We start from the raw sequence: 23,758 nt of genomic DNA, 5'->3' as shown, positions 1-23,758 counted from the left end.
GTTGGTCAGGTGAGGTGGCTCACACCTCCCCATCCAGGGACTCTGCCCATTAAGCCTGTTTCAGCAAAATTCCTGTCAAGTCTGTTTAGCCAGAATCCGCCTGCACCTGATGTCTCCTCCAAGTAATTTCCCATCTTCTGATCCCGCTCCCCCCAACCCTACTCTTGACTATAAATCCCCACTTGTCCTTGGTGGAGTCCAAGTCGATCCCAATATCTCTCCTACCACAAAAACCCATTGCAGTGGCCCGTGTACATCTCATAGTACTCCCCCTTCTGAGTAAAATCGTGCCTACGATCTTTTTTTTTTTAATTTTCAGAGACAAAGTCTCACTTTGTCACTCAGGCTAGAGTGCAGTGACCCAATCTTAGCTCACTGCAGCCTCAAACTCCAGGGCCCAAGCAATCTTCCTGCCCCAGCCTCCTGAGTGGCTGGGACTACAGGTACACACCACCAAATGCAGCTTTTTTTTTTTTTTAATTATCTACTGAGGCAGGAGAATTGCTTGAACTCGGGAGGCAAGGTGCATTGAGCCAAGATCACGCCACTGTACTCCAGCCTGGGCAACAGAGCAAGACTCCATCATAAATAAATAAAAAAATAAATAACCTATTGGATAGATTGGATATGAAAACATTAAATGCTCAAATAAATAATTCAGTGAAATAGGTTGGATATTAAAACTGATATAATTGAAAAGGCAATTGCTGACCTGAGGAAATGAGTCTAAAGAATTCATAAAACTAATCGGTAATGGATACAGATGAAGTAAATGAAATAAAAGTTAATTAATAGGGAGGATAAAAGAATAAATGTCAAAACACATCTAATAGTAGCCTTATAAGAAGAGAATACAGTCATTAAACAGGAGAGTGTACTTAAATAAGTAATGAAAGAGAATTTCTCAGATTTAGAAAAATAACTTAAGATTTAAAGGTATTGTAAGTACACACACACACAGGATCAGTGAAATGTAAAATTGTGAAAGAAAGAAAAAGTAGTTTTAAAACGATCAGAGAGAAATAGCAGGTTACTTACAGAGGAAAAATAATTAAACTGACATCGGGTCTCTCAAACACCACACTGGAGGCAAGGATACAATGGTGTAATAACTCCAAAGTGTTGAAAGAAAGGAATTTTTTTTTTGAGACAGAGTCTCACTTTGTCACTCAGGCTGGAGTGCAGTGGCATAATCCTGGCTCACTATAACCTCCGACTCTCGGGTTCAAACAATTCTACTGCCTCAGCCTCCCGAGTAGCTGGGGCTACCGTTGCACACCACCACACCGGGCTAATTTTTGTACTTTTGGAAGAGACAGAGTTTCACCGTGTTGGCCAGGCTGTTCTCGAACTCCTGACCTCAGGTTATCCCCCCACCTTGGCCTTCCAAAGTGCTGAGATTACAGGCATGAGCCACCGCGCCTGACCTATCTGATAGTTTTTCTATATAACTCTTTGTCCCTGGGAAAAATGTGTCACCCCAGACACTACATGTGAGTTTCAGGGTTTCTGGATTGATAGGTCATAGGATACACAGCCTCTAGAGCTGAGCTGAGCTGAGCCAATTCTTTCCAGTTCCTAGCCTATTAGCCCCCAGAGACACTTACAGGATTTCTGCCTTACAGAGTGGAGGGAGTCTACGGGTGGGTGATATTGGTTGTAATTGCCTAGCTCAGAGGGCAGAGGGAGAGGTAGGAAAGGAATGTTCAGTTACTGGCCAGCTTTGATGAGTCTGCACTTTTTTTTAGGAGCTTTCCAAGCCCCCTATTCCTTAATGTTATCACGCCACTTTGGGCTAGCACTAGGCCAGCCCTGCCAAGTGTCTGCTTTATATGTTTACACAACAGGTAATGAGCCATCCAGAAAACAAGGAGAAAACAAGAATGCAACTTAGAAAGCTCCACCTGGGCTGATCCTCCATCTGTGGCCTCTGACCTTTTCCCACTCTAAGCCGTCTCATCCCCCAGTGGGGCCAAACCATCAAGGGTTTTGTTACAGGAACTGTTCTGAACTCCAACCACTTCCCACCTCTTCTGTGGCATCTGCAGGGTTGGGTTTGGGAAGGAAGCCAGCAGCTATTGCTGGTTCACCATCTTCTTCTTGAACCAGATATGCTTTTACATTTTAAAAGTAATTTGAAGTCATTACTAACAACAACTAAAAGATATATACTAACTTAACCACATGACAGGCGCTATTCTAAGTGCTTTACACGTACTTACCCATTTAATCATAGCAATCAAATGAGCTAGATAGTGTGGCTATCCCCAGTTTACTCTTGAGTAGCCTGAGACACAGAAAGGTTATATGACTTACACAAGGTCACATAGCTTAATAAGTTGAGAAGCCAGAAACTGCACCCAAGCTGTCTGGCTCCAGAGTTTGTACTCTAAAATACTAGCATTAACTGGGCATAGTGACTCACTCCTGTAATCCCACCACTTTGAGAGGTAGAGGTGGGAGGATTACTTGAGGACAAGAGTTCAAGGTCAGCCTGGGCAACATAGCAAGACCCTGTCTCTACCAAAAAAAATTAATTAGCCAGGGGTGGTGGTTCATACCTGAAGCCCCAGCTACATGGGAGGCTGAGGCAGGAGGATCACTTGAGCAGAGGAGGCTGGGGCTGCAGTGAGCCACGATTGTGCTAAGGAACTCTAGCCTGGGCATCAGAGCGAGGCCCTGTCTAAAATAAAACAAAATAAAATGCTCGTGTTTTTAACCATTCTACCATTCTATCATTCATTAGTATCTGTATCCATTCGTTGAACACCAAAAGAACTTCTCTTTTCTTTTCTGTCCCTCCTCCCATCTTCCATGTTTATAATACCTGCAAATTTAGTTCAAGACTATAATTTTTTTAATTTACAATCTAAACTTTACACTTTTCAATAAATTCTAGTATTTTTCTCCTCACCATTGCTTATTGAAATCTTCTGCTTCCTCTTAAATTTACAACCTCTGCCTCCCGTGTTCAAGTGATTCTCCTGCCTCAGGTTCCCGAGTAGCTGAGACTACAGGCATGTGCTACCAGGCCTGGCTAATTTTTTGTATTTTTATTAGAGACGAGGTTTCATCATGGTAGCCAGGATGGTGTTGATCTCCTGACCTCGTGATCCGCCCTCCTCAGCCCCCTAAAGTGCTGGGATTACAGGCGTGAGCCACCTCGCCCAGCCTAAAATTTGCCTTTTTAAACAGTTGTTTATGGTGTCTTTTGACTTAGATGATACTTTAATTTTTACATCTTTAACTATGTCAGATTAATTGTTTATATCCTTGGTGTAATGTCAGGATTTGCTTATGCCAATTCAAGATCTCTTACACTATAATATTTTCCTGAATTTTCATCTAGTTCTTTATGACTTCACGTTTTCACATTTATGTCTCCGAACTTTTAGAATTTATTATTTTATGTGGTTCAGCATAAGGATTTCATCTTTATTTTTTCAAATGGATAGACACTTGTCAACAATCCTTTATTATACAACCCATCTTTTGCCCACTGTTTGTTTGGAAATGCATGCTGAAGTTGGTATATAAATTAGTCTGTTTCTTGACTTTCTATTTTGTTACACTAATCTGTTTCTAAGTATATTCATTTTTGATTGTTGCTGTAACAAATTGTCAATAGCTAAGACAATGCTGGGAGTGGTGTCTCACGCCTGTAATCCCAGCACTTTGGAAGGCGGAGATGGGCGGATCGCTTCAGGTAAGTTCGAGACCAGCCTGGCCAACATGACAAAACACCATCTCTACTAAAAATACAAAAATTAGCTGGGTGTGGTGGTGAGTGCCTGAAATCCCAGCTACTCGGGGCGCTGAGGCAGGAGAATCACTTGAACATGGGAGGTGGAGGCTGCAGTGAGCCAAGATCACCCCACTGATCTCCAGCTTGGGCGACACAAGTGAGACTCCATCTCAAAAAATATTTATATAGCTAAGACAATTTTTGAAAAAGAAGAATAAGATGGGAGGAATGGCTCTTTCATATTTCAATACTTCTTATATAGCTACAGGAATTAAGACTGTGTAGTACTGGGAGAAGAGTAGACACATAGATCACTGGAACAAAATAGAGAACCTAGAAATAGCCCCACACTGATTTTTTACCAAGAGACAAAAAGAAGGAAGGATTGTCTGCTTAACAAATGGTGCTGGAGATGTTGTAGACATAGGCCAAAAAAAAATGACCTAATTTTCTTACCTTTATACAAAAAAGTAACTCAAGTGCATCACAGATTTAAATCTAAACTATAAAACTAAAAGAAAACTTTTACAAGAAAATATAGGAGAAACGTCTGAGATCTAGGGCACAGTGAATGGTCCAAAAAGCATAATCAATAAGGAAAAAAATAAATTAGATTTCATCCAATTTAAAACTTGTGCTCTGCAAGAAATCTTGTTAAAAGGATGAAAAAACAGGGTATGATCTGGGAGAGAATGTTTGCAAACCACATATCCAAGAAAGGACTCACATCCAGAATATATAATGGATATGTATACTACTCTCAAAACTCAACGGTAGGCTGAGTTTGGTGGCTCACACTTGTAATCCTAGCACTTTGAAAGGTCGAGGTCGACGGAGGGCAGATCCCTTGAGGCCAGGAGTTCAAGACCAGCCTGGGCAACATGGCAAAAAACACATCTCTACTGAAATACAAAAATTAGACAGGCATGATGATGCGTGCCTGTAATCCCAGCTACTCGGGAGGCTGAGGCACGAGAATCGCTTGAACCTGGAAGGCGGAGGTTGGAGTGAGCCAAGATCATGCCACTGCACTCCAGCCTGGGTAACAGAGAGAGACTCTGCCTTAAAAAATAATAATAATAATAATAATAATAACTCAAAGGTAAAAAAAAAAACCCAAATAATCCAATTAGAAAATTATGAAAAGATATGAGCATACATTTCACTGAAGAGGAAATAAGCAAATAAGCACATGAAAAGATGTTCAACACTCATTTGCTTCACTAGATGCAGAATAACACCACGATGAGGCATCACTACACACTTATTACAATAGCTAAAATAAAAGACATAGTGACAACACCAAATGGTGATGAGGATGCAGAGAAACTGGACACCTCATTAAGTGCTGCTGGGAAGGTAAAATCTTACAGCCACTCTGGAAAGCAGTTTGGTAGTTTCTTATAAAACTAAACATGCAATGACCATACAATTCAACAATTACACTTCAGAGAAATTAAAATGTATGTCCATCCAGAAACTTGTACATAATTGTTCATAGCAGCTTTACTTGTAATAGCCAGTAGCTGGAAATAATCAATATGTCCTACAATAAGTGAATGGTCAAACTGTGGGACATCTATCCTATGGAATACTACTCAGTAATAAAAATGAACTACTGGCTTGGCACAGTGTCTCACCCTGTTACCCCAGCACTTTGGGAGGCTGAGGCGGGTGGATCATGACGTCAGGAGTTCAAGACCAGCCTTGCCAATATGTTGAAACCCCATCTCTGCTACTAATACAAAAATTACCCGGGCGTGGTGGCACGCACCTGTAGTCACAGCTACTTGGGAGGCTGAAGCTAGAAAACTGCTTGAACCTGGGTGGCAGAGGTTGCAGTGAGCCGAGACACTGCACTCCAGCCTGGGCGACAGAGTGAGACTCCGTCTCAACAACAACAACAACAATGAACTATTGATACACAAATATCAATATCTTGGATGAATCTCCAGGGAATTATGCTGAGTGAAATAAGTCCCTAAAACGTTATATACTATAAGATTTCATTTGTACAGCATTGTAGAAAAGAGAAAATTATAGAAATGAAAAACAGATTAGTGGTTGCCAGGGGTTAGGGATGGTGGATGGGATGAGAGTGAGTATTACTAAAAATGACTAGCACAAGGAATAGCATTATGATGATGGAAATGTTCTGTACCTTTTTCTTTTTTTCTGAGAGGGATTCTCACTCTGTCACCTAGGCTGTAGTACAGTGGCATGATCTTGGCTCACTGCAACCTCTGCCTCCCGGGTTCAAGAGATTCTCCTGTCTCAGCCACCCATGTAGCTGGGAATACAGGCGTGTGCCACCATGCCCGGCTAATTTTTGTATCTTTAGTAGAGACAGGGTTCTCCATGTTGGCCAGGCTGGTCTTGAACTCCTGATCTCAAGTAATCTGCCCACCTCGCCCTCCCAAAGTGCTGGGATTACAAGCGTGAACCACTGCACCCAGGCATGTTCTGTATCTTTTTTTTTTTCTGAAATACAAGCTTTATGTTAAATTTAAAGAAATATTAAACATTTTTAAACAAATTATAATCAAGCACTCAAAACAATTTAGGAATGTTAAACACTAATTCTTAATTGAAAATAATGACATCCATAGAATACATCCTGGTGTTGGCCAACATGAAGTTTACTTAATATTAGTATTTTATACATGCTTAACCATTCATCCTTCCTAAAATTTAATGATAACAATGATTTGACTTTATAAGGTGAAGTCTTTTATGTAATTCCCTAGAGAAAACTTTTTCAAATACAAAGCATTTATACCAGCAAGGAAATTATAAAAACATATATAAAGTACACTGAATGATGTAATTTAAACGCTGTCTGTATATATAGATACGTTTAACCTTAGAAAGTACACAACACATCAAAACACTTTCACAGAACATAGATGCCATTGCATGCTCTTACTTACGTTACAAAGCAAACAGCAGCTTCATAAATGTTGTTCTACTATGTATTAACTGAAAAAAATAGATACTCCACAAAAAGGTTTTGAAGACACACGGAGTGGAATGTGCCTGCATTAAAAGCAGAGCTTTTACAAGACCACCTGTCTCCAGCCGGCTCCTGGGGACCACTGAAAACAGCTGCTACCCTCAGAACGACAAGATGGCCTTGTTAATGATTTCACTGGACTTGAATCTCATCCCCCTTCACCACCAGCGGAGGCGAAACCTGATGATGTCGCCATGGGTTGGCTTGGCCAGAAGTGGATAATCTTGAAGTCGTAGACACACCTTCCAAGCATCACAATCTTTGGTTTCTTTAATAACAATAGAAATTAATAATTATTTTCCTCCCGGGCACAGTGGCTCACGTCTGTAATCCCAACATTTTGGGAGGCCGAGGTGGGTGCATCACCTGAGGTCAGGAGTTCAAGACCAGCGTAGCCAACATGGTGAAACCCAGTCTCTACTAAAAATATGAAAATTAGCTGGGCATAGTGGCACGTGCCTGTAATCCCAGCTACTCAGGAGGCTGAGGCAGGAGAATCGCTAGAACCCAGCAGGCAGAGGTTGCAGTGAGCCAAGATCGCACCATTGCATCCTGGGCAACCAGAGTGAACCTCTGACTCTAAATACATACATACATACACACATACACACAATAATTCTCTTCCTCTTACAGCAGTTACAGCATCAGAAGGTAGCTTCATGGGTTCATTTCTCAAGAGAATACCCATTTTGTTCTGTATTTTCAGCAAGATTTTCTTCTAAAACCTCAAGGGCTGCGATGGCCACTCAGCAGCCTAGTGGATTGCCACCGTATGTGGACCCATGGTCGCCTGGCTTAATGCTCAGCATTATGTCATCGTCCCACAGCACTGCAGACACAGAGTATCAGCCCTCAGAAAAGGCCTTTCCAAGGAGGACTATATCAGGTCTGACATTTTCATGATCAATAGCTAGCCATCTACCAGTTCTGGCCAATCCTATGTGTATTTCATCAGCAATGAACAGAACCAAGCTGGGAGCACGAGATGGGATGAGGGTAAGTTAATATACCACAAAGCTTACTGTTTTTACGGAGATTCAGCTGGTTTCTTTCTTTCTTTCTTTCTTTCTTTCTTTCTTTCTTTCTTTCTTTCTTTCTTTCTTTCTTTCTTTCCTTCCTTCCTTCCTTCCTTCCTTCCTTCCTTCCTTCTTTCTTTCTCTTTCTTTCTTTTCTTTCTTCTTTCTTTCATGTATGGATGTATTTATCTATTTGACAGTCTTGCTCTGTCGCCCAAGCTGGAGTGCAGTGGTGTGATCTCAGCTCAATGCAACCTCGGCTTCCCAGGTTCAAATCATTGAGTGAGCCCAGAAGGTCAAGACCAGCCTGGGAAAAATAGCAAAAGGCAGGGTGGTGCATGCCTGTAGTCCCAAGGCCGAAGCGGGAGCATCGCTTGAGCCCAGGAGGTAGGGACCAGCCAGGACAACATAGCAAAACTGTCTCTACTAGAAAAATTAAAAATATTAGTGGTGGTGGGGTGGTGTGAGCCTGTAGTCACCAGGCTGAGGCGGGAGGATTGCTTGAGCCTGGGAGGTCGAGGCCAGCCTGGCCAACATAGCGAAACCCCATTTCTACTAACAACAAGAACAACAAAAAAATTGCGTGGGTGGGATGGCTCACCCCTGTAGTTCCGAGGCCAAGGTGGGAGGACTGCTTGAGCCCAGGAGGTCAATACCAGCCTGGCCAACAAAGCGAAAGCCTGTCTTTCCTATAAATAAGTAAATAAAATTAAAATGAGCAGGAAGAATGGCACACTCCTGTATTCCTGAGGCCGAGGTGAAAGCATCATTTGAGCCCAGCAGATTGAGGCCAGCCTGGGCAACATAGCGAAACCCGGTTTCTACTAAAGAAAGAAACAAACAAAGAAGCAAAAAAAAAAAAAAAAAAAATAGGGTGGGCAGGGTGGTGCATGCTTGTAGTCCCCAGGCCAAGGCGGGAGGATCCCTTGAGCCCAGGCCAACATAGCGAAACCTGGTTTCCACTAAAAAATAAATAAATAAATAAAGCGTGGGCCGGGTGGTGCATGCCTGAAGTCCCGAGGCTGTGGTGGAAGGATCCCTTGAGCCCAGGAGGTTGAGGCCAGTCTGGTCAACATAGCGAAACATGGTTTCTACTTAAAAAAAAAAAAAGCCTGGGCAAGGTGGTGCATGCCTGTAGTCCCGAGGCTGAGGCGGGAGGATCGCTTGAGCCCAGGACGTGGAGACCAGCCTGACCAACATAGCGAAACTGTCTCTTTTAAAAAATCAAAAAACGAAAAATATGAGTGGGGGTGGGGTGGTTCCCGCCTGTAGTCACGAGACCGAGGCGGGAAGATTGGCCAAGGCGGATGTAACCAATACCACAATCACATCCCGTTAAGTAAATACATTTTCGTCTCTCCAGGGCTACAGGTAAGGATGCTAATTGTGCACACCACACTTAGATTCCCTTTCAAAAATGTAATCAGCGGTTGGAGGGCCTTGGACTGTTTTTTCAGTGGCAACAGATATAGAAGCCACTGAAGAATGAAAGCCACGACTAAGTACAGCAAAGCTCTGCAAATGTGCTAGTCTGGAAAACATTGTGTCTTTCAAGTAGAAAAATCACAGATCCGACTATTTTTTTCTTCTCGCTGTTCAGACTAGAATCCAGATTTTTAACCCGAGATCCAGGCATGGTCTTCAGAGAGTTCAAAATCTGACGGCGCCTGAGGACCACCCACTTTGTCCCAGTGGCAACAAAGTGTTGCTGGAGGAGGAGACAATATTGTGCAATGTCACTGCGCAAGGATGATGGACCAATCAGGGCAGTCGGTGAACTCCATCTGGCCAATCAGAAGTCAGAACAGTAGGCGGGATAAGCAAAGCTGATGTGGCGTCTATCAGTCCAGCCTCCAGGGACAGAACTTTCTAACTGGGGGTGGAGACCCTGATTTTCCCGCCTAAAGCATCCCCCGGGATTGGCTACTTTAAGTTCAGAGTATGCATGCTCTGACTTTCTCTCTCTTTCGATTCTTCCATACTCAGAGTACGCACGGTCTGATTTTCTCTTTCGATTCTTCCAAAATCAGAGTAAGCATGCGCTGATTTTCTTTTTCCATTCTTCCTACCCCTCCCCTCCTCCGCGGTGCATTTGTTATCTAGTTTTAATAAGGAGTGTATGTGAGGCAGGTCGCCATCTCAAATCCTTCCTGTCAGTTTCTAACTTTTTCAGGTATGGGATTTTTCCTGGGAACTCTAGTAACTTAACAAATTTGGGCCGGGTACGGTGGCTCACGCTTGTAACTCCAGTTTTGGAGGCCACAGCTGGTGGATCACTTGAACCCACGAGGCGGAGGTTGCAGTGAGCCATGATCACACCACTGCATCCCAGCCTGGGCAACAGAGAGAGACCATGACTCAAAACAAACAAACAAACAAACAAACAAAAAATCTCACTCAAATCTTTCCTCCTGGGCTCAAGTGATCCTCTCACGTAGGCCTTGGGACTACAGGCGCACACCACTCCGCTTCTGTTAATGTGTGTGTGTGTGTGTGTGTGTGTGTGTGTGTTTTGTTGTTGTTGTTGTTTTAGTAGAGATGGTTTCGGTATGTTGGCCAGGCTGGTCTCAAGCTCATGGACTCAAGCGACCCGCCCTCCTTGTCCTCCCAAAGTGCTGGGATTACAGGCATGAGCCACTGCGCCTGGCTGATTGCTGTACCTTGAAACTCCCTACATTCTCTTTAAGTGATGGCGGGCTCTTGTAGTCTCAGAAATTCTAGCTCTCTTCTTCTAATAATTTACAAATCACCCAGTAATAGCCTCTAAATCCGTTCATATTAGCCATGCTCATTTCTCTTCAACAGAACAGAACCCCCCATCCCTCTGCCTGATCAGATCCATCACCAGAGAGACCATGTTATCTCTGGGACTCATTTCCCTTCCTTTATTTATTGAGTGGGGGTGTCAGCATGCCCCCACTGAATAAAATTACACAGTCACATCTCTGCCTTCCCAACAAGGGTCTGTACATCTTTCAGGGTAAGCCTGGCCCCAGGGAAACTACTAACAACATTAGCCAACCCCCTCCCAAAGACTCAAGGCTGCTTTGCCCACAGGAAGCCTGTCATCCCAAATCAATACTTCTCCCAGAGACCCCTGGTTCCCTATTTTCATCTGACTTCGCCCCATGTCATTACTCAGGGACAGATAAGCCCCAGATGGAGAAATGAAGCACCTGATTCCAGGTGACTGAGGGTGGCCGGCCTTCACTGATTTCTCCCTCCACAAGACCAAAGCTGCTGTGGCTGGAAAGACTCGGTCTGTTTCTCTTGCAGGACAGACTGCTCCCGGTGCCATGAACGGAGACGATGCCTTTGCAAGGAGACCTAGGGCTGGTTCTCAAATACCAGAGAAGATCCAAAAGGTGAGGTGACCTGGAGGGGGCAAAGTAGTGGCCCAGGGGACAGTGTGGGGTGACCGGTTTCTGAGGAGGGGAGGATAGAGATACTGGAGACAAGGAGCAGGGTCTTGGGGGAGATCTGGACCCTTGAGAGCCTCCCATCCTCGCTCTATCATCAACTAGCATCCTTGGAGACAAGTCTGTGACCGTGCACTACATTTGGTGAATCTCAGTCCATTCTGGAAAGTGGGAAGAGAGCCAGCCAGCAGCATTAAAGCCCTACTGTGTGGCAGGGGTGAAGCTAGGAAAGGTCCCTCATGTTCTGTCAGTTAGCCATGGCATCAACCAGGACGGAATATCATCCCCACTTCCCAGATCCAGCACACAGGAGGCGGCTCCAGCTGAATGGCAGACGTGTCTAGCTGAGTCACTGACAAAATTCCTTTTTTATCTTTTCCTAGGCCTTCGATGATATTGCCAAATACTTCTCTAAGAAAGAGTGGGAAAAGATGAAATCCTCGGAGAAAATCATCTATGTGTATATGAAGAGAAAGTATGAGGCCATGACTAAACTAGGTAACAGAAAGTTCTAGGTACAGACAAGTCTGGGGACACATGAGCATCCCTTTTCCTGCTTTGGCTACTTCTTAGGCTGCAGAAAGTACCCCACATTTTCCTTTTGTGCAGGGAAAAATCGCAAGGCAGCTTCTGGGTGTTCTGCTCTTCTGTATCCTGTCAGGGCTGAGGGCAGGGACTGGCCACAGTGGAGCTCATACCTGGATCCTGCACGTTTCTCTCCCTTAGGCTTCTGTTCTGATGAGTCCAAGTGTCTCTGTGGCATCCCGGCACCTCCACACCGTCCCTACCTTCCTTCTCTCGGCTTGTATCTCTCTTTCTTTTTTTTTCTTTTTTTTTGAGTCAGAGTCTCAGTCTGTCACCTAGGCTAGAGTGCAGTAGTGCAATCATAGCTCACTGCAGCCTTGAACTCCTGGCCTCAAGCAATACTCCAGCCTCAGCCTCCCAAAGCGCTGGTACTACAGATATGAACCACCGTGGCAGGTCAAAGCTTGTCTCTTAGGAATAAACATTTTGCTTCTTTCTAGGTTTCAAGGCTACCCTCCCACCTTTCATGTGTAATACAGGGGCCACAGACCTCCAGGGGAATGATTTTGATAATGACCGTAACCACAGGAATCAGGGTGAGTAGATGGGAAGGGGCTGGAAAGGGTCTCATCAAGCCCAATTGCTTTTCAGCTCAGTTACCTGGGAAAGATCCTCAGGCATTTGTTCCCTCATACACATCAGGGCTGAGTGAAAAAAAATTGCATGCAGAAAGTTAACGACAGAGGCCATTCATGTAACATTTTAAAACATGAAAAACAAGTATATATATTTTTATAGATAATAAGTAAATGGTAAATGTATACAAACATGAATGTGAATAAAAAGCCATCAAATTGAGGTGACTGGCTGTAAGTGGAGGAGGGAGGGAGGGCAGGGATTGCTGAGTGCTGCACAGACAGGTTCAGCTGTGACTTGTTGATAGTGTGTTTTGTTTGTTTTTGTTTTTGAGATGGAGTTTCACTCTTCTCGGCCAGGGTGGAGTGCAATAAGGCAATCTCAGCTCACTCCAACTTTCAACTCCCGGGTTCAAGTGATTCTCCTGCCTCAGCCTCCGGAGTAGCTGGGGTTACAGTTGCCCGCCCCCACACCCAGCTCATTTTTTATTTTTGGTAGAGACGGGGTTTTACCATGTTGGCCAGGCTGGTCTCAAACTTCCTGACCTCAGGTGATCCACCCACCTCAGCCTCCCAAAGTGCTGGGATTACAAGTGTGAGCTACCACGCCCGGCCTGTTTGTAGTTTTTCTAATATTCTGAATAAATAAATCAGACCTAACATAGCTGTGGGGTAATGTTGAGATCCGACTGGACTCAATATTATTCCCCATACTTTTCTGTGTGTTTGAAATATTTCTTTTTTAAACGACATGTTGTTCTTCCTAAGCACTGTTAATGAATCAAAGGACTGTTAAAATAATGTTACAAGAGAAAAAAAAAGAAAGAAAATGTTACTAGTGTAGATCTGCCAAAAACTTCCAGAGTTTGTTTCATTAACAGCATGTAGGTATTGGATAGGTATCTTAGGAGTGAGGTTGATGAACACATTATGTAATAAAGATCGCTGTTTCTCTGTATTTTATCAAAACCAAATAGTCTTCTCATTCCCAAAGAACCCTGATTCTCTGTGATGAGCTCGGGAGTGAGTTTGAAAGAGTGATCCCTCATCCCACACACAGAGAGCTTTCCCACTTGTCAGAGAGCAGAGATAACACAGGGTGAAAAAAAGACAGGTTCTTGGGTAGAGATCTTTGTACATTTCAGTAATATAAAGGGGGCATATGTGTTTCCTTGCTCTTCTGCTCTGACAACACAATTATAAGACAAGGTCAGAATGTCCAAACTATCTCCAATAGACCTATTACTCCCCAACTAAAAAGGCCAGATTCTACAATCTCCCACGATCACTACAAGAGATCTGAAAATCCAGGGCTTGAGTGTCTGCCAAGATTTTGACATTAAAGAAGTGTCTTTATACTGAAAATATTTCAGAGCCACTGGACCAAATCATCCATGGTTCATCACACATTTAACAGCTTAATTCACATACCGTAAGATTCACCCATTTTAAGTGTACAGTGATTTTCAGTTATTGCACATCTTGAGTGGATACAGTTCAGATTCTTAACCAATCAATTTAATTATTTGGAAAAAAGTAAAAGATATGTAAAGTAATAAGATGAGACTGTGATGGGGTTTAGTCCACATTTGATAAACTATGAGATGGAAAATTCTGAATGGATGCCACAGATAAATGAATCAACCATTACTAAACATAATTCAGAAGCAAATCTGAAATAACTCCTCAACAATGAGTGGACTCATAAGCCTCTGCTGGAGAATACCCTGATGCTACAGAAGTCTCTATAGAGTTTGGAAATCTTTACCAACAAGGAAAAATTCTGATGTATTCTCTTGCAGTTGAACGTTCTCAGATGACTTTCGGCAGGCTCCAGGGAATCTTCCCGAAGGTGAGTATCTCTCAAATCTAAAGGACCAGAGAACCTTTGTCCCTCCACAGATGGGAACACTGGTAAGAGTGGGAGAATATAAAAAATGCCCTCACTGCCTTCTTCTCCCCATATCTATCACAACACCTGATGTAGCACCAACAGCTTGATAACACTAACAGTTGTGATCCTCAATACATCTTTTGTTTTCATAGTGATGCCAGATACTATTTTAAGCAGTTCACATGGATGAATTTATTTAATCCTTAAGAAGACCTCTATGATGTTGTTTCTATTATTATCTCCAAATAATAACGAGTCACACACTTCGGTTGTCATCCATATAAAAGCCATGTGACTTGGCACAAATCTTCTGAGTTCTCTGAGCTCCAGATTCCTGGTCCATGAAATGGAAGTAAAGAATCATAGTTCATGTTTTAGATCATAGTTATCAGCAACATAATAATAAAATGAGGCTATCATTGTACAGAGATGTTAAAGAATTTTCCTGGGGCACAGTGTCAGTGGTAGTCTAATCCAGAGCTCCAAGCCATTTAAAGCTCATTCACGTTTGCATTTGTTTATGAAGTTCAGATGTTGCTCACTAGGGCTTTACCCCATAGGGCCTCCTGGTGCTTCCATTGAGACACCCGCTCTCGCAACAGGAAGGACCAGCTGGCCTCTGCTCTGTTACTGGGACCACTTGCATGGCTTAGGAATCGCTTTGACTGTTGGCCCCTCCCTACTGTGAGCTCCTTGAGGACCTTGTCTGCACCTGGGGCGTCCCGGAAGCCCCCATTCCAGCCCAGGGGTTCCCTCAAAGACCCCTGAATGAGTCATCCCACAACTGCAGATCCAACTCTGGTTTAGAGGATAAAGGGATCTGGGAGTTGGGTTGCCAGTGTGGAGACCGAATTCAAAGATGGATCATGAAAGGTATTAATTGTTATTATTACTACATTTAAACAGTGTTTACAAGCTCAGAGAGGACTTTCCCATAGACTATTTTATGTGTATTGTTCACTATTTCATAAGTGAGGAAGCTGAATAAAAAGTAGATTAAGAGCGGGGCACGGTGGCTCGCGACTGTAATCTCAGCACTTTGGGAGGCTGGGGTGGATGGATCACTAGGTCAAGAGATCAACACCATCCTGCCCAACATGGTGAAACCTCGTCTCTACTAAAAATACAAAACTTAGCGGGGCGTGGTAGAACCTGCCTGTAGTCCCAGCTACTCTGGAGGCTGAGGAAGGAGAATCACTTGAACGCAGGAGTTGGATGTTGCAGTGAGCCAAGATGGCGCCAGTGCACTCCAGCCTGGCAAGAGAGCAAGACTGTGTCTCAAAAAAAAAAAAAAAAAAAGTAGCTTAAGATTGTTGGTCAGTGACACGTCCCAATGCAACCAGAATTGGTATGGGTACCACCTCACTGAATTCCACATTCAATTGGTGCCTCTGCTTTCTTTGCTGCCTAGATTAATTTCAGCAAACCATTTCTTTACCTCTCCTGTCCCTGTATTCATCTCCCCACAACATCTTTCCCAGCAGTGTTTTGTCCCCTCTCTATGTTTTTACATTTACTCTCCCAGCAGCTAAGAGCTAATATGAGATCCCTTGTATTTTACAGAAGCTCTTCCTTTTGTAGACCTTATGAATTCTTAGAATGCTATCCTCCTTCCAATCTTTTGTATACCAAACTCTCAATTACATGGAGATTTTTGCTGTTTGCAAGAATGTCAGTCTTAAAAGAGTGTGAAGATAAGCATTCTAGCCCTGGAAACCATATTCACATAGGCCATTCCTTTCCCATCTAACCTCCCAGGTTTCTCCTAATTTAGGCAAGTGTAACTCTCCCAGCATTGTTGAGAACATTGATTAAAGTAATGCATGTGAAGACCCTTTGTAAGCTCTAAAGCACTGTAGAAATGTCACCGATACTGTTTATCTGTGACCTTCACATTATAAAGATCATGCCCAAGAAGCCAGCAGAGGTAGGAAATGATTCGAAGGAAGTGCCAGAAGCATCTGGCTTACAGAACGATGGGAAACAGCTGTGCCCCCCGGGAAAACCAACTACCTCTGAGAAGATTAACAAGGCATCTGGGAAGAGGAAATAATTTGGGAACAACCCCTCTGGCTTCCCTGGCTATGTTCAGGTGTGTGGACTGGGTGTGTGGCATGGATCCCAGACAAGCCTGGGTGCAGACTGGGCTGAGGAGCTCACCCAGCTCCAGATGAGATGTTTGACTGGACTTCCAGAGATACAGACTGGAGTTGTCATCCATATAAAAAAACACGTGACTTGGGGCAAGTCTTCCAAATTTTCTCAGTTCCAGATTCCTAGTCCATAAGATGGAAATAAAGAATCATAGTTCATAAATTGTTTGGAAGTATTATATTTAATCTAGAAGGCCTGATGATATGAAAGGTGCTCAAGCGATTCTATCTTTGATAACCTGGGATCATATCTTACTTAGCTCAATGCCTGATACCCAGTACAGGTGTACTTCAGAGATATTGCAGATTCAGTCCCAGACCACTGCAATAATGTGAGTCACACACATTGTTTTTTTGGTTTGGCAGTGCATAAAAACATTATGTTTACACTATACTGCAGTCTACTAGGAGTGCAGTAGCGTTATGTCTAAAAATGTACATACCTTTATTTTAAAATAATTCATTGTTAAAAATGCTAATAATCTTCTGAGTCTTCAGTGACTCACTCTTTTTGCTGGTGGAGGGTCTTGCCTCGGTGTTGATGGCTGTTGGCTGATCAAGGTGGTGGTTGCTGAAGGTTGGAGTGGCTGTGGCAGTTTCTTAAAAGAACACAACAGTGAAATTTGCCACATCGATTAGCTCTCCATTTCATGAAGGATTTCTCTGTAGTGTGTGATGCTATTGGATAGCATTTTACCCACAGTAGAATTCTTTCAAAGTTCGAGTCAATTCTCTCTAGCTATGAAAGTCCTAGAAGGCATCTCCTTCCGATAGAAGGCTATTTTATCTACATTGAAAATCTGTTGCTTGGTGTAGCCACCTTCAACAGTGATCTTAGCTAGATCTTCTGGATAACTTGCTGCAGCTTCTCCATCGGGGTTTCCTGCTTCGCCTTGCACTTTTAAGTTATGGAGATGGCTTCTTTCCTTAAACCTCATGAACCAACCTCTGCTAGCTTCACACGTTTCTCCTGCAGCTTCTTCACCTCTCTCAGCTTTCATGGACTGGAAGAGAGTTCGGGTCTCTCTGTGAATTAGACTTTGGCTTAAGGGAATGTTGTGGCTGGTTTCGTCAAATATCCTGACCGCTCAAACTTTCTCTATTTGAGCAGTAAGGCAGTTTTGCTTTCTTATTCGTGTGTTCACTGGAGTGTTAATATTATTATTTCCTTCAAGGACTTTCCCTTTGCATTATATACTATTATTTCCTTCAAGAACTTTTCCTTTGCATTCACAGCTTGGCTGTTTGGTGCAAGAGGCCGAGCTTTCAGCCTGTCTTGGCTTTCAGCATGCTTCCTCACTAAGCTTAGCCATTTCTAGCTTGTGATTTAGAGTGAGAGGCATGCGACTCTTCCTTTCATTTGAACACTTAACGGCCATTGTAAGGTTGTTAATAATCCTCATTTCAGTGTTGCTGTGTCTCAGGAAATAGGGAGGCCCAAGAAAAGGAGGAGAGACGTGGAACAGCTCATCGGTGGAGCAGTCAGGACACACACAACATTGGTCGATTAAGTTTGTCAACTTCTATGGGTGCAGTTCATGGTACCCACCCCCCAAACAATTACACAGAACAGGGTGATTATTGTCAATAATAATTGTACATTTTTAAAAAACTAGAAGAGTGTAATTGGATTGTTTGTAACACAAGGATAAATGGTTGAGGGGATGGATACCCTATTTTCCATGATGTGATTATTACGCATAGCATGCGTGTATCAAAACATCTCACGTACCCCATAAGCACATACACCTACTGTGTACGCACAAAAATAAAACACACGGACGGGCAATGTGGCTCACGCCTGTAATCCCAGCACTTTGGGAGGCTGAAGCAGGCCGATCGTGAAGTTGGGAGATCGAGACCATCCTGGCTAATACAGTGAAACCCTGTCTCTACTAAAAATAGAAAATATTAGCCAGGCGTGGTGACATGCTCCTGTAGTCCCAGCTACTTGGGAGGCTGAGGCAGGAGAATTGCTTGAACTGGAGAGGCAGAGGTTGCAGTGAGCTGAGATTGCTCCACTGCACTCCAGTCTGGGTGACAGAGCGAGACTTCGTCTCAAATAAAATAAAATAAAATAAAAATTAAAAATTTAAAACTTAAAATTATTTTAAAAGCCTGAAAAACAACAAAAACAATTGCAGTAATAATATCAAAGCTCACTGATCACAGATCACTATAACAGATATAATAATAATGGAAAAGTGTAAAATTGATGAGAGTTTCCAAAAAAAACATTGCAGCATCTGTGAAGCACTATGAAAATGTTGTGCGATAAAAAAAAGTATGCCTCGGTGCCCTCAATAAAAACACGTGCTGAATGAAAGGAGGTAAGGGTGGATGTTCCCGTAAGTGAAGAGGTTGGGAATCTAAACCCCACAACAGAAGCAGCCAGAAGCTAAAACTTTAATTGGCATTTGGCCTGTATTGGTGTGGGTCTAAGGTCTCAGCCTCTCTAAGCCAGAGAATGTGAAAAACTGGATAAAGAAGGCCCATGGGCACTTGGGAGGGGGGAGGCATCTCCTTTTTTTGAGAAAACAGAGCCTAACACTCTCCAACCTACCCAACCCTCACTTTCCAACTATTCTCCATCACAGGACCCAAAAGGGGGAAACATGCCTGGACCCACAGACTGCGTGAGAGAAAGCAGCTGGTGATTTATGAAGAGATCAGCGACCCTGAAGAAGACGACGAGTAACTCCGTAAGTGAACCTTCGGCTCATCCCCCACATCCCTGCAGATGTGGTATTCTGTTATGGTACTGGTATCCCATCTGTCACTTGTTCCCCAAATCATTCCCTTCTCATAATTTTCTAGGGTACAGCATTGAGGCCGAATGATGAGAGATTTCCCACGTTTTTTTTTTTTTTTTTTGACGGATTCTCCCTTTGTGGCCCAGGCTGCAGTACAGCAGCATGATCTCCGCTTACTGCAAGCTCCGCCTCACGGGTTCATGCCATTCTCCTGCCTCAGCCTCTCCAGTAGCTGGGACTACAAGCGCCCGCCACCACGCCCGGGTAATTTTTTTTGTGTTTTTGGTAGAGACGGGGTTTCACCGTGTTAGCCAGGATGGTCTCGGTCTCCTGACCTTGTGATCCACCCGCCTCGGCCTCCCAAAGTTCTGGGATTACAGGCGTGAGCCACCGCGCCTGGTCTTCGCAAGCTCTTTTTACTCCCTGCCCTGTATATCCAGGGATGCTCCCTACCCAGGATGCTGTGTGTTTCCAAACTCCAGGTCAGCCCTGTATGTGGGCCACACCTTCCTCTAGCCTAGGAATGGATAACCCAGGCGAAGAAGTCACTGTGGCATGAGCAGATGGTTCACTTCGAGGAACCGTGGAAGGCGTGTACAGGTCCTGAGGTAGGACAGAATCAGAGTGTGCAAGGTCTGCAGGTCAGGAGGAGTTGAGATTGAGTTGTCACGTGGTGGGAACTCACTGCCACTTACTTTCCTTCTCTCTTCTTGCCTCAGCCTCGGGGATACGACACATGCCCATGATGAGAAGCAGAATGTGGTGACCTTTCACGAACGTGGGCATGGCTGCGGACCCCTCGTCATCAGGTGCATAGCAAGTGAAAGCAAGTGTTCACAACAGTGAAAAGTTGAGCTTCATTTTTTAGTGTGCCAAGAGTTCGATGTTAGTGTTTCCGTTGTATTTTCTTATAGTGTGCAATTCTGTTAGATATTAATGTTTTCATTGATGAGCAAGACATGCTTAATGTGTATTTCGGTTTGTGTATCCATGCACCTACCTCAGAAAACAAGTATAGTCAGGTATTCTCTCCATAGAACAGCACTACCTTCCTCTCTCCCCACATGTGACTACTGAGGGCAGTTCTGAGTGTTTAATTTCCGATTTTCTCCTCTGCATTTACACACACACACACACACACACACAGAGACACACACACACACCAAGTACCAGTATAAGCATCTCCCATCTGCTTTTCCCCATTGCCATGCGTCCTGGTCAAGCCCCCCTCACTCTGTTTCCTGTTCAGCATGTACTCCCCTCCTCTGATTCCCCGTATCAGTCACTGACAGTTAATACACCTTTGCAAACGTTCCCCAGTTGTTTGCTCCTCTCATTAATGTGCGCACAGGTCTCTGCACGTGTGTGAATATTTCTTTAGGAAAGATTCTTAGAAGTTGAATTGCTGTGTCAAAGGAGTCATTTATTCAACAAAACACTAATGAGTGTGTTCTCATGCTGGACGTTGTTCTAGGTGCTGGAGAGACATCAAGGAACAAGGCAGACAGATGTTCCTGACCCCCATTCCAGAGGAGGATGTTTCCAGTTGTTGGGTTTCTTTGTTTGTTTATTTTTGCTAGAGAAGCGATCTTGCACTTCCCAGGCTAGAGTGCAGTGGCATGATCATAGCTCAATGCAGCCTTGAACTCGTGGGCTCAAGTGATCCTCCCACCTCAGCCTCCAGAGAAGCTGTGACTACAGGAATGCACCATCATGACCCACTAATTTTTTTAAGGTTTTGTCAAGAAAATCTCTCTATGTTACCCAGGCTGGTGTTAACCTCCTGTGCCAAAGCGATCCTCCCACCTTGGTCTCCTAAAGTGTTGGGATTACAGGCCTGAGCCGCAGCACCTGGCCTCCAGTTTTTATTTTGATACAGACTATACACTTCAGTCCTGGAGCAGGATTCTGCAGCAGGTGGTTGGGCATCTTGGCCTTTTCTCTCTGAAAAATTTTAGGTTTCAAGGTCTGGAAGGGTCCATTTGGGTGGATGTGGGAGGAGACACAGATGAAATTGTCATCTGAGGAAAGTGGAGGAATCAGGCAGATGCGTGCACTGTAGACCCTGTGATGGACAGGAAATAGAGGAGTCCACTTAGTCTCCATGCAGGGGAGCAACTGGTGGGAAAGTCTCCTGGACAGAAGCATGAGAGCGCCCATCAAGGGTCTCACCACCCAAGGGCCTGGGGGCTGGGGTGGGGACGATGATTTGGGAATGGGACAGTTCTTTCTCACATGTACCATTGCATGGTGCAGAGGTGAAACAGTTGTGGGGAAGGGAAGGGCAGAGGGGAGTCTATTTTAGCACAAAGCATTGTGTGTGAATGGAGACATCAAAGCTCCATTCACACACCATGGACTTGAAACACCAGCCCCAGATGGAGGCAGGATTGGAGCTGTTTTGCCGGTTGGTGGCCCATCACCTTGGCCTCCTGGTTCTACCCAGCCTTAGAAGGAGGACACTATGATCATTATGCCTATAAGACAGATGAGAGACGGAGTCCCAGAGAGATGGCAGGCGTCTTGTCACAGGTCCTACAGCTGGCAGGTGCAGGAGGAGCTGAGTTTGGAGCTCACTGACTTCAGAAACATTAAGGAGGACAGGTGTGTGTGGTGGAGGGAGGGAGAATTGAACAAACTCCGGGTTCTGTCCCCAGTCACAAGGTAGAGGCTGTGGGTTCATTTTCCAAGACAAGGAGCCCTTAGAGATGGAGAGTGCAGGGAGGAAGAGGCAATCGTGGACATAGTGGGGACAGTGGGAGACAGAGATGTGCAGCCTGGGCAGAAGAAGGGCAGGCAAAGAAGCAGGGGATACCCAAGGCCAAGTGTGGGCTGTCACAGCCACCAGAGGGAGAGGGTGCCAGGAAGGAGGTTGTGGGGCTCCAGGAGCAAGAGGTTCCCCAGATCTGTGAGCATGCCCTGCCTGGCACTTCAGGAAGAGGTGGCTGCCACCCAGGTCAGTGTGGACCTGCCTCTACCTGTGTCTCAGAGGAAACAAATTCTGTTTTATCCCAATATAGTTCTGTATTACACAAATGTAACATTCAGCTATTAGATATTGAGTGCCTTAAACTCCATGCAACTAGAGGAGCGCATACCCCAAAAGAGATAATGAAGGATTTGATTTTTCTTTCTCCCTGGGATGATGGGATCCATAAGGTGGTTCCCGGAGCCCACAAGACAGATACAAGGAAGGGTGGCTGGAAGATTGTGAGTCATGAAAGGGAACATTTTTCCTTAGGTTCCATGGGTATATAAAGCTCCGGACTATCTGTCTATCATGGATAAAGAGTGAACATGGTCCCCTCTCCACAAATGTGTTTCCCTCCTTGTTTATTACTGTAAAGGGCTGAAGTTACACCAAGTCCTGATACATTACTTTTTTTTTTGAGACAGAATCGCAGTCTGTCGCCGAGGCTGGAACGCAGTGATGCAAGCACAGCTCACTGCAGCCCGGATCTCCCAGGCTCAAGGGATTCTCCCACTTCAGCTTCTGATCTAGCTGGGACTACAGGCACACGCCACCACACCCAGCTAGTTTTTGTATTTTTTTATAGAGACGGCATCCACTATGTTGCCCAGGCTGGTCTGGATACACTGGCCTCAGGCAATCCTCCTGCCTCAGCCTCCCAAAGTGCTGGGATGACAAGTGTGAGCCACCTCGCCAGGCCTTCACTTTCTTTAATGAACAATTATCAGAGTTTCATCTTAGAGACAAAAGTGGCTACTGCCAGCCAATCTGAGTGTGGTGTTGGAGCGGAATCTGGCTGATTCAGACGTTTCTAACGAACTTTTAAATTAACCTACCTGATGATTATCCTAAGGCCCTTTCCAGCTCCGTGTTTTTTTGATTTAGGGTTTGGGGATTTTCAGAGGCTTTGTTACAAAGAGCGTCTCCTGGGCAGGCGCGGTGACCCACTCTGTAATATCAGCCCTTTGGGAGGCCGAGGCAGGCAGATCACTTGAGGTCAGGAGTTGGAGACCAGCCTGGCCAACAGGGTGAAACCCCCATCTCTACTAAAAATACAAAAATCAGCTGGCGGTGGTGGCAGGCTCCTGTGAATTCCAGATACAGTGGGGAGTGAAGCAGGAGAATCCCTTGAACCTGGGAGATAGAGTGTGCAGTGAGCCGAGATCACGCCACTGCACTCCAGCCTGGGCGACAGAGTAAGTCTCTGTCTCAAACAGCATCTCTCGCCTACAGTGATTTGAGCTGTGGTCTTGTCTCCTTGGGTTTCTCTATCAGTCTGATCCCATCTACTCTATCTCCCAGGAATGCCTCAATATTTCTGGTGGACCACTGGCACGTTTTCCTATTTTCCTCTACTGTTAAGGATTGACCCTTGAAAACATTTTCATCCCAGTTCAATGGAATGTTGAGTGGGGCATGGGATCTATCTGCCATCTTGCTCCAATCATCTGGTTTTAGATATTTTATGTATATTTGTCACTATATAAGTGTATTTTTTCTCAATTTGGTTTTCTAAATGGTTAATATTGGTATGTAGAAAACCTATCTATATATATATAATGTTTTGTTACCTGTCTGGGTGCAGCTTCCCCTGCATTTTGGCAGAAGACTCAATATGTTTTATTCTCCAAAAG

The 23,758-nt window shown here is 44.3% G+C and overlaps 2 pseudogenes across 1 annotated transcript; one reads left to right on the top strand and one right to left on the bottom strand.

The window, feature by feature from the left end:
* LOC791092 (ornithine aminotransferase pseudogene) lies at positions 6,228 to 7,727 on the bottom strand (annotated as a pseudogene).
* On the top strand, positions 9,739 to 14,368 carry SSX9P (SSX family member 9, pseudogene; annotated as a pseudogene). The gene is made up of 5 exons (NR_073393.1): positions 9,739 to 9,805; positions 11,051 to 11,139; positions 11,577 to 11,691; positions 12,219 to 12,314; positions 14,156 to 14,368. The product of NR_073393.1 is annotated as an SSX family member 9, pseudogene (transcript).
* The last annotated feature ends 9,390 nt before the right edge of the window (positions 14,369 to 23,758 follow it).

Source organism: Homo sapiens, chromosome X, assembly GCF_000001405.40.
Source record: "Homo sapiens chromosome X, GRCh38.p14 Primary Assembly".
Classification (NCBI taxonomy): domain Eukaryota; kingdom Metazoa; phylum Chordata; class Mammalia; order Primates; family Hominidae; genus Homo; species Homo sapiens.
Note: the sequence above shows the minus strand (reverse complement) of the source record. Positions and strands in the feature narration are given on the sequence as shown.